The 11,943-nt window shown below is 38.3% G+C and overlaps 1 protein-coding gene across 23 annotated transcripts in view; it reads right to left on the minus strand.

Annotated features, from left to right (window-relative positions):
* PKHD1 (PKHD1 ciliary IPT domain containing fibrocystin/polyductin) overlaps positions 1-11,943 on the minus strand; it is a 472,317-nt gene that overhangs the window by 284,268 nt on the left and 176,106 nt on the right. For all 23 annotated transcript variants that reach the window (XR_001743469.2, XM_017010944.3, XM_017010945.3 and 20 more), the window contains 4 exons: positions 9,717-9,908; positions 6,649-6,774; positions 4,420-4,476; positions 4,031-4,161 (listed from right to left, as the gene is read on the minus strand). Coding sequence is in view for 22 of the 23 variants with exons in the window: in XM_017010944.3 (XP_016866433.1) it covers positions 4,031-4,161; positions 4,420-4,476; positions 6,649-6,774; positions 9,717-9,908 (506 nt within the window). In the remaining variant the exon portion in view is untranslated. The remainder of the gene's footprint in view (positions 1-4,030; positions 4,162-4,419; positions 4,477-6,648; positions 6,775-9,716; positions 9,909-11,943) is intronic.

Here is an 11,943-nt window from a genome sequence, read left to right on the forward strand (position 1 = left end):
ATGGGCAAAAACTGGAAGCATTCCCTTTGAAAACTGGCACAAGACAGGGATGCCCTCTCTCACCACTCCTATTCAACATAGTGTTGGAAGTTCTGGCCAGGGCAATTAGGCAGGAGAAGGAAATAAAGGGTATTCAATTAGGAAAAGACGAAGTCAAATTGTCCCTGTTTACAGAAGACATGATTGTATATCTGGAAAGCCCCATTGTCTCAGCCCAAAATCTCCATAACCTGATAAGCAACTTCAGCAAAGTCTCAGGATACAATATCAATGTACAAAAATCACAAGCATTCTTATACACCAACAACAGACAAACAGAGTGCCAAATCATGAGTGAACTCCCATTCACAATTGCTTCAAAGAGAATAAAATACCTAGGAATCCAACTTACAAGGGATGTGAAGGACCTCTTCAAGGAGAACTACAAACCACTGCTCAAGGAAATCAAAGAGGATACAAACAAATGGAAGAACATTCCATGCTCATGGGTAGGAAGAATCAATATCGTGAAAATGGCCATACTGCCCAAGGTAATTTACAGATTCAGTGCCATCCCCATCAAGCTACCAAGGACTTTCTTCACAGAATTGGAAAAAAAACTACTTTAAAGTTCATATGGAACCAAAAAAAGAGCCCGCATCGCCAAGTCAATCCTAAGCCAAAAGAACAAAGCTGGAGGCATCACCCTACCTGACTTCAAACTATACTACAAGGCTACAGTAACCAAAACAGCATGGTACTGGTACCAAAACAGAGATGTAGATCAATGGAACAGAACAGAGCCCTCAGAAATAACGCTGCATATCTACAACTATCTGATCTTTGACAAACCTGAGAAAAACAAGCAATGGGGAAAGGATTCCCTATTTAATAAATGGTGCTGGGAAAATTGGCTAGCCATATGTAGAAAGCTGAAACTGGATCACTTCCTTACACCTTATTCAAAAATCAATTCAAGATGGATTAAAGACTTAAATGATAGACCTAAAACCATAAAAACCCTAGAAGAAAACCTAGGCATTACCATTCAGGACATAGGCATGGGCAAGGACTTCATGTCTAAAACATCAAAAGCAATGGCAACAAAAGCCAAAATTGACAAATGGGATCTAATTAAACTAAAGAGCTTCTGCACAGCAAAAGAAACTACCATCAGAGTGAACAGGCAACCTACAAAATGGGAGAAAATTTTCACAACCTACTCATCTGACAAAGGGCTAATATCCAGAATCTACAATGAACTCAAACAAATTTACAAGAAAAAAACAACCCCATCAAAAAGTGGGTGAAGGACATGAACAGACACTTCTCAAAAGAAGACATTTATGGAGCCAAAAAACACATAAAAAAATGCTCATCATCACTGGCCATCAGAGAAATGCAAATCAAAACCACAATGAGATACCATCTCACACCAGTTAGAATGGCAATCATTAAAAAGTCAGGAAACAACAGGTGCTGGAGAGGATGTGGAGAAATAGGAACACTTTTACACTGTTGGTGGGACTGTAAACTAGTTCAACCATTGTGGAAATCAGTGTGGTGATTCCTCAGGGATCTAGAACTAGAAATACCATTTGACCCAGCCATCCCATTACTGGGTATATAAACCCAAAGGACTATAAATCATGCTGCTATAAAGACACATGCACACGTATGTTTATTGCGGCATTAGTCACAATAGCAAAGACTTGGAACCAACCCAAATGTCCAACAATGATAGACTGCATCAAGAAAACGTGGCACATATATACCGTGGAATACTATGCAGCCATAAAAAATGATGAGTTCATGTCCTTTGTAGGGACATGGATGAAATTGGAAATCATCATTCTCAGTAAACTATCGCAAGAACAAAAAACCAAACACCGCATATTCTCACTCAAAGGTGGGAATTGAACAATGAGATCACATGGACACAGGAAGGGGAACATCACACTCTGGGGACTGTTGTGGGGTGGGGGGAGTGGGGAGGAATAGCACTGGGAGATATACCTAGTGCTAGATGACAAGTTAGTGGGTACAGCGCACCAGCATGGCACATGTATACATATGTAACTAACATGCACAATGTGCTCATGTACCCTAAAACTTAAAGTATAATAATAAAAGAAAAAAAAACTTAAAAAAAAAAAAAAAGAACTTTAAGGTCACCAAGGATAAATATGTCAGGAATATACCTAATGAATCTACATTACCAGTTTAACCTAAAACTCCATTCTCAAAACATATGCATTGTATTTTTTTTCTAATTTTGTAAAGCAGATACAAGAGTAAGAAAGTAAATGAAGGGAAATGGAAAGCGTTGGAGGGAGAGCAAGCAGCTAGTTGCAGACTCAATTTTTCCATTGCTGACTGGGTATTATTCTACAGGTCATTTTGCAAAGGCTCACACCACCCACAGCTTTTCAGATTACCCTCTGGTTCTCTGCACCTGCAGCCAGCTCAACCCTTCTTCTTGTCAGCCAGTGGCCAGCACTCCGTCCAGCAGACCACATACTACCCAGTGAGACAAGGACATTCCAGCTTCACACAGCAGGGTGAGCTGGGCAACCCTGAGGGTTTACTTTCCTCCAGGCATTTGATGTAGTCAACATTATGCTACCCAGAAAAGTACACAAAAACATGGTTTCTTAAGCCCAAAAGCTTACAGACATAGAAAGGGCACATAGGAACTCTTTTATTTACGCAGCTTCTTGTAAGTCTGAAATTATTTTAAAATTAAAAGTTTAAAATAACAACAAAAAAATCCTAATTATCATTAGGATTTTTGGCCTGTAGTGACCAACAAGTTAAATGCAGCTCCAGCTGTCCTGGATCTGGGATCTGGGTTCCTACAGTCCGTGTAGTTCTGCTTCCTTTGCTTACTGGCATATTAGCCACTCCCATTAGGCACCTAAAATGGTGTGTGAGTGCTGTGCTTGGAACAAACATAATTAAGAATCTAAGGAAGAAGAGATAACCACTACTTTTACTAGGGTTTATTCAGCTGAAGGTAATTAAAAACAGATGATCAGTGAGAAAGAAGCTCATCCTCTGAGTTCCTTAGAAACTCAGCATAATGACATAGTGGATGCTGAGAGGAGTTTCCTGAAACAGTGAGGCCCTTAACTCCTTTGATAGAAGATCCATGGGATAAAATAATTAGAAAAGGGGAAATGAAATGGCTTGCCACTACTCTGATGCACTTGTTCACTCAGGTCTACAGCTACATTGTCCCCTCAAAAATTAATTTCTTAAATGTTTAAACAGAAATGTGCCAAGGGAAACCAATGTTAAGTTGTACTAAATAATGGGATTTTAAAAATCAAGGTTATTGAAGTGGACTTCATCCTCCTGGAATCTGACATGACCTTATACACCTCATGTCTCAGTTTTGAACACTCTTAAAGGACAAAATATGGCCACATTAACATAGTAAGATAGTGAAGGTTTAAAAAGAAATTGGTATTGGAATCAAGTGAGACAAAAATCAGCACCCAGAGTTGGTAGTTCAGGGAGATATTTTAGTTTGCATTACCTAGATGACCAGGAAACGATCAATATCTACTTTGTTTTGCTCCATTACCTATTGCTTCAAAAAAGTGTTTCCAGAAATCCTGAGAGGAATGCTTACATTTATCCTAAAGTACTTGTTTAATGCAAAATTATAAATTATTTTCTTGATACTAATATGCAGCAAGTAAACATTTCATACCACACCACCACTAACGCTGCCACCTTAAAGAACTTTTGGAGCAAGCTTGTCCAACTGGCAGCCCACAGGTCGTATGCAGCCCAAGATGGCTTTGAATGTGGCCAAACACAAATTCATCAACTTTCTTAACACATTATGAGATTTGTTTTACAATTTTTTTTCAGCTCATCAGCTGTCATTAGCGTTAGTGCATTTTATGTGTGACCCAATTCTTCCAATGGCAATTATTCTTCCAATGTGGCCCAGGGAAGCCAAAAGGTTGGACACCCCTGATTGAGAAAGAACTTTATGCCCTCTCAGTTCTGGTCTTCCTGGTAGAGCTGAACATCTTACCTCTATAACATTGGTGGGACTGCAGATATAGATGCCAGATGGTGTCAACATTTCAGGATTGGAGAGTCCCTCGGCACCAGAAACCTGGATGATCACGTTGTTTCTTATTATATTTCCATGTCCTGACCAGTCTAATGTTTCAACAAATCCAGGGGATCCACAAACATAATTAAAATGTACTCAACTCAACACCCTTGATTCTACTAATACACATCAGAGTTCACATAATGCATTTCATATATATATATATATATATATATATATTTAGAAAATATTTAGTATGCACAATAAACTTAAGAGACCTAACATTTTGCCATCAGGCTTGTCTATAAAATATATGACAATTTTAAATACACTGTAATAGATTTAAAATCAATTTACATATTTACCATCTTTCCTTCCATGAATTGCCTCCCAGGAGATATATCTCATCTCCGTGCATGTCCCTGAGAACAAAAGACCCCATTACTTGAGTATATTTTATGTCACTTAGGAAAACAAGAGATGCTGCAACACTACTTCTTTGGGTGTGGGTTGTTTTGATTTTGTTTTTGTGTTTTTATCTGTAAATCAGGGAAAGAGATACAGATCTTATGTACTCTTCAGTTCTAGAGTATCAGGAATCAGAAGTTCATTTTAAATAAAAAGAACAGAAAAATAGATCTGTTTTACTTTTGAGGAGGAGTCTAAGTGACTATCTCCACTGTTAAGTGCCACATATCCTGTGTCAACACCAACCCCATTCCTAGCTGTTCAAACTGGCCACCTGCTATCTGCATGCCCTCACCTTCCCTTGGAAGATCTGAAATGTCCTGTAGGAACAGGATGGACAACATCTAGGACCTTCTCACCCAAACCACTGAGGTTGGAATAGAAGAGCAAGCATGGGCCATGCTAATAGAGAAATTAGTCACTTAAGGGCTATCAATAAAGAGCTGCCCCAAAGAACCCTTCATTACAAAGTCTTTAAGTATCTAGGCTTCCTCATGCCATTTCATGGGTCTGGGTTTGCATACTTGTTATGTGTGAGATTGAGTGCTTTACCCACCACACATCAATAAACAAAAATTTTAATTCCCTCACTTGTAATACAATAGATGTCAAAATCTTATAATTCACAACATTCAAGCACTAAAGGCTAAATTCTGCCTACAGGTTTTCTTCCTTGCATAGTTAATATCTATTCCACATAATTGTTTTCTGCTAAGGTAATACTGTTAGGATACCTTTCTCAATTTCTCCTTGATGTTTCACCTTTTCCCTTGCACGGACAAACATAGGAACAAACAAAGTCAATCCTACATCTGTTAGTTGACTTCCCTGTGGCTGTCCTTTTCTAATCAAAAGATTTTTCTGCACCTGATCACCTCAGTTACCCTTAGTTTTTGTCTTTTAGAGCTAGAGTATGTTTTAAAGCAAATGTATCTGATTCACATTTTCTCACTAGACAGTTTCCATCTCAGGATAGAACTTTTATAGCTTTTATCTCAACAGATTGTTCTTAAATGAAACATGTATTTTTCCCACTGATGATACTATAGAATTAAATATCAAACGGTATTTAACAAATACAGTTATATTCTCACTTTCAGTGAAAACCTCTGATTTGCTTTTTTATTCTGATAAAACTGGAGACCCTTTGTTTCTTAATTCATTCATTTCTTTCAACTAATAGATCTACAATGCACTAGTTAATATGCTAAGTGTTCAGGAGACAATGTCCTCAAGAAATCCGGTGGTATAAAGACATTAATCAGATGACCAGAAATGTGGTATATAATTTTAAATCAAGAAGTACTGATTGGCGCTTAAAGAGCTTAAACAGAAGGACTTGTCTGGGAGAGAGAATGTTGCAAGAGAAGAGTAAGTGGCATGAACAGAGCCAGAGAGCTTGTGCAAAGACCCTGAGGAAGGAAAAAGTGTGGTCTTTTGAAGGAACTAAAATAAAATATTTTAATGTCACTAGAGTATGGAGAAAGAGAAAAAAAACAAGACAAGTTTACAGAAGTTAACAGAGACAAAATCACTGAAGGGATCTTTTAAGTCTGGTGAAAAGTTTGGGATTCTATTTTAAAAGCAATAAGAATCTCAAAGGAGAGAAGTGATATGATGCAATCTGAGATTTTTAAGGATAATTCTGAGTTTTGCAAGGGGAATGAACTTTAGGAAACAGAAGTAGATAGAGTTGATCAGTTGAAGATTCTGAAACATGGGCTTCTTCAGCAAGCCACAGGAGCTTGAATTCTATTAAGAAGAGAATTCCAGATTTTTAAATCCTTGGCCAACATCCAAGTTTGACAGTCTGTAAGACTATACAAAGACATATGCATGTGACTTAGAATTATTGTGAAAATTACTGGTAGTAAACTTTAAAACTTCCCATTATACACTTATTAACCTGAACTAACCTTTAAAAGATCAGTATCCTATAGGTAAAGTTTAGTAAGCCAATCAGTGATGACTACATTTAAATTTAGAATGTTTTACTGTAGCCCATTTCTAGTGATCATAAAGCCAATATTTTTATAAATTAGGAATTAGAAATTTGGGGAGAATTCATTGTGAAAAACTGTGTCCTACACAAGAATGCAGAAATTCAACAAGCTTGTTTTACTTACCAACTAGCAGCGCATGACCTAAAATATTGTAGAATACATTACTGTCCACCTTCAGGCCCAAGGTCCCGCACATGCTGAGGCCTCTACTGAAGGAGTTCCTCACTGTGCAGCCCTGTATGAAAGACTCTGAATAGGAAAGAGTAAAGTAAAAATTAGATATGGCTCCTGAGATTCTGTTGACCATATTTAGAGCAACCTACACTGTAGCTAAAGACATTCTCCCACACAATAATGAAACTCAGGAGATAAGAAGTTAGAAGCAGCAATCGAATCAAGAGAATGAGTAACTCAAACCAATGGGCCTCAATAATAAAAAGGGTGAAATTCAACAATCAAGTGTTAGAAAAAAAAAAACAATCTGAGAAAGACAAAGTATGTCTAAACAATAAAAGAACTCATGGCTGTCAAGATTTCCAACTGGCTATCATCTTTAGTATCAGCTTTCATCATAATACAGCAGATGAGAAGTTAAGGATAACGTGAAGAGCACTGCTTATGGGCCAGCCTTGATCTTTGAAACCTGGAGCAGTGAATTAATATTTATAATTTATCAGGCAATAATATTCTTGGCCCAAGATAGCCAGAGACTCATTCCTAACTGTAAGCAAGGTCAAAGGTTGGCCTGAGGATCATGACTCTCACATTTGAACTGGATAGGTTTATACAACTAAAGAGGAAGCTATCCTCTACTACGCTAAAAAATTGACAATTAGGAAAATCATTACACTGGTTCCATAGGCATATTCTATGATCCCCAGATCTGGTTACGAGGCCTAGATGAGTCAATGAATACACAATTACTGAGTATCAACTATATGTTTCAGGAATTGTGCATTGCATTGTGCTGGAAACATAAAGATGAATGAAACTAAGTAACCTCTGCATTCATGTATTTGCATTCTGATGGAGGAAACTGACATTAAAATAATAAAAATCCATTATTTGAATAATTAAACTATAAATCCTAAAAAGGGAGCTTTGTATTATTACTAGGTAGTGAGAAAGATACAGATGCCAAGTGCTGGGATATTAGAAAAGTTACTTTAGTTTACAGAATAATTTGACTTTTACAGTTGGGACTATCCAAAAAATTCTAAACTTTAACATCACTATCAACACTGGATCTCCACATTCCCCTCAATCTCAGCTCTCCTACTACTAGGTGCCCTCACATTGCTCATCAAGGATCCACCCCAATAAATTAACCCATCCATATCTACTTCTGTAGCAAACACTGCCCATAGTGCACAGAATCTTCACCATATCACCCAAACAGCATAGGCCTGACCATGTGAAAAACCAGTAAGTACTTATGTGTTTGTGTAGCTCTTATGGGCGGAATACTGGGATTAGTGAACCTTTAAAAAGTACTGTGCAACATTTACCTATGTAACAAACCTGCACATCCTGCACATGTACCCTAGAACTTAAAATTAAATTAAATTTTTTAAAAAGTACTGTTCAAATATCCCAATGCTTTCTAACTCTGGTAGCTGGGAGTAATTAGCTGCGTAGGACATGAGGGGCTTCAGGGTGTTAAACAATAAAAGATTCCTTAATGAGCATTCCAAAAGTTTCTAGCCTCTGCATTTTAACAGGGATTTAAAGGTAATAAATGTATTAATGCAGTAATTTTCAAACTTTTATTTTTTAAGCACTGAACTCTTTTTCAAATAAAACCTAAAATATAAAATATCTATAAAAATAGATGAGTGTGCAGCTACTCTGATTGAAACAGAGGTGGGAGAGATAGGTTAGGTAAAATTTGATCAAGGAAGGGCTTTGATTATGTTCAATTGATAACTTATTTGTGACAGCTACCCTCTTTTTTACTGAATTGGCCGCATGTCAAATATTCTGCAGTACTATATACAGCTGACCAAAGAACCAGAGAGAAGGAAATAAAGATACTAATCAATCCGAAGCACTAGCGGAGAGGCCATATGCGGAGCCATCCTCTGAAATGACTCAAATAAATTTAAAAAGATTGGAAAAATTAGAAGAAATAGACGTCCTTAGCATGCAGATAATTTGAAATGAAGGAAAATGTTGCTTCTGGCAGTTCAGAATCCTGCCCTCAATGACCTGAAGGATTACTCTGCAATTACCTGTTAGAATCCTAGCATCTCTCAAAAGCCACCTGAACCACAAAGTATGCCCTGATGTCCTTTGTCAGGCATCAACCTCTGAACCCCTGGGGCACAGCCTCTTTAAAGAAGGCAAAGCTTGAATGTGTGGGTGTTGAAAGTGCTGATGAATGGGGAGGATTACTCAGAAATGGAGCTGCTGTCCTCCTGACTTGGCATCTGCACCCCCATTCTGTGATTCTCTGCATGTCAGCTTTTGGTAATGAGTTTTTGCCCTGGATGTTCCTACATTCAACTTTTATTTTAGAACTTTTATCAGTGCATTTGGTCATATTCTGTTTTTCTGATTCTGATCTTGTTTTTCACCTAGTTGTTCTCACCTGAATTTGATGTTTCCTGCTCCCTTCTTATATCTTCATGTCTGGCCAAGATCTGCACATGTAACTGCTCCTCATTTCCAGAAAAAGCACCTGGGTTTCAGCCCATTCCCCCTCATTTCCCCAGGCAAAAGATTCCTCTGATTTAGGACAACTTTACATAGAAGTGCCTGGACTCCCACAGTGTTGATAATGTAATGCCAATTCACCTGTAGTCACAAAGCTAGTAAGTGGTAGAGACAGAATTCAAAACACAGGATTGTGTGGTTCACTCTTGTGTGCTGTATTATAGTGATAGTTCTCAAACTGGACTCCTTGGACTGCCTGTTCCAGAATCAAAAGGTTTGTATTTAAAATACACATTCCTAAGCCTACCTTAGACCAGAATTTGTTGGGGTAAGGTCTATAACTCTGAATTTTAATAAGCTCCACAAGTGATTTGTTTAGGCATACTGAAGTTTGGGAACCATAGACCTAGAATATAACAATTATCCATCTCTAAATCCCTCAAATCCCACATATCATCTATCATTCCACCATGCATGTAGTGCCTTAAACATGGGAGAAAGAAACATGAGAAAGTCCTAGGTCCGGACCCCCTTACCTCTCATAGCTCCCACCAGAGTGAGTGAGCTCAGATGCTTATGGAAGGCTTGCCCCAAGACTTGAAACTGCACTCCCTTCAACTGGACCTGGCTGGGCTCTTCTGGGAAGGACTGAACGATCACTCTGGCTCCCATATCCCTGGATCCTAGCATCTTCTCACTCATGGAATACAAACAGTGCTGCAGATTACCTGAAATGCAAAATAAAGTCCAGAGAACCTAAAGCATGTAGAACATGCTTCCAGACAAATCTCCCAGTTTGAAAGGTACTGTCAGCACCGAGGAAAAACCATTACTGTTTATTTCATTTAATAATCTTATTTCCCCTTTTCTTTGATTCTCCTCTGTATATTATTAATTAAAAGATCTGATAAACAGGACATGATGTTGCCTTCATTCTATTTTTTCAAGAAACTCCCAAATCAATCACCTTAATTACTGTCACAAAGAGTCAGACTATAACCCACAAACCCAACCTAAATAGATGCTTATTTCAATCTAAAAGATCCTCTGGAGGAAATGTGCAATAAAATGACCTTCTTGTGGTTGATAATTGTAGGAAAGACATGTTAGCACTGAATATAATAACAGCACTTTTTAATCTTAAGCTGTCCAATGAGGTTTCCCCATTACTGTGCTGTTTTATGGTTTGGGGACTTAGCAATAACGCTACCACAGAAATGTCAAAGGACTCCAGAGAAGCAACTGAGCAGCTCCTGCACCAACACCTACTTCCCCAGCTGTGCCACTAATGAGGACAGCAGCAACCTGAGCCTAACACACACAACTACAAATGCCAGTGAGGACAGCAACCACCTGAACTAACACACACAACTATGAATGCCAGGGAGGGCAGCAAACCACCTGGACCTAACACACACAACTACTATTGCTACCAAAATGTTGTGACCTCAGGATCCAGGGCACCTTCTGTTGATACATGGCATTTGGTGGTACAAACTAATCTGGAGAATAAATCATCTCTCCAATGGATAATAAAGATTTTTCATGTTAATGATCCAAAGAAGCACCAATAATATAAAACACTGTATCATATCACAGTAAATTTCAGAATCCAATCATTTGCTATTACCCAGAGAAGAGGTGAATGAAGAGATATTTATATTTGTATGCCTTATCACAATTTGATTATTTGTGCCACTGATCCATAAGATTTTCAAATGGACAGGCCTTGTGTTATTAAATTCAGCTACCTTGTTCCACACTCCAGCCCCACACAGAAAAGAAATGACTTATTTTGAGAATATTGTAGTTGTATTTACGATTTGTGATGCAATCAAGGATGTTTTCCATTTGGGGCTAACAGATTTATAATGGCTTAAACCTAGAAGCATGATCTCACTGGCAGCATGATCAAATGCAATATTTGGCAAAATATGATCTCAGAATACCAAGGAAGTTTGAATAGAATGTAGATCCCAATTCTGCAGAATTGATAAAGTTGGGCAGTTGATGGAAGTGAACCCACTGTTATCCAAACATTCTTTTTAGAATGACACATTTGTGAGTAGATGATTTGTAGGGAGGGAGGTGAGGCCAAACTGCCTCTCTACTTCTAACAACTCCCCACACCCAACCACATGGCAACATTTTACTCACATGCACCTATATTTAGACACAACTCAAATCTTTAACTCCAGCTCCCTTTGACCTTTCTTCCAGGCTCCACACATTACCAGACATCTCTACACAGTTGGCTGGCCTGCTGGCATCTCAGTTATGACATATACAAAATTAAACTCACGATTGCCACTCTCCCACCCCAAAACCTGCTCCTCTTCCCATCCCAGCAAATAGCCTCATCATCCATCCAGAGCTCATGCCTGGAAGTCATCCTTGACACCCACGCCATCCTGGACCAAAGTTGACAAATGATGTCTTCACAACATGTGAAAGCCTCATAATCTACAGCCTGGGAAACCAAAACATGACCTACTAAACTAACCATCCCTGAAATAGATGCTTAATAGGCACATCAATGTGATTCAGTGCCTGCTATTCTACTAGAAGATAAATTGAATTTTTCCACCACTTACCTAAAGTATGTGGTAGTTCACTCAGAAAACAAATCCCAAAATGGGGATGGGGGAGCCCTACAAGTCTAATCAGTAAGAATGTGCTGCCTGAGCCCAGAACTCTGGCATATGGCTTTCCTGAGAATCTTAGAAGTGGCCTGGAATTTTAACATTGAACCCAGAAATGTAA

Source organism: Homo sapiens, chromosome 6 (assembly GCF_000001405.40).
Source record: "Homo sapiens chromosome 6, GRCh38.p14 Primary Assembly".
Taxonomy (NCBI): domain Eukaryota; kingdom Metazoa; phylum Chordata; class Mammalia; order Primates; family Hominidae; genus Homo; species Homo sapiens.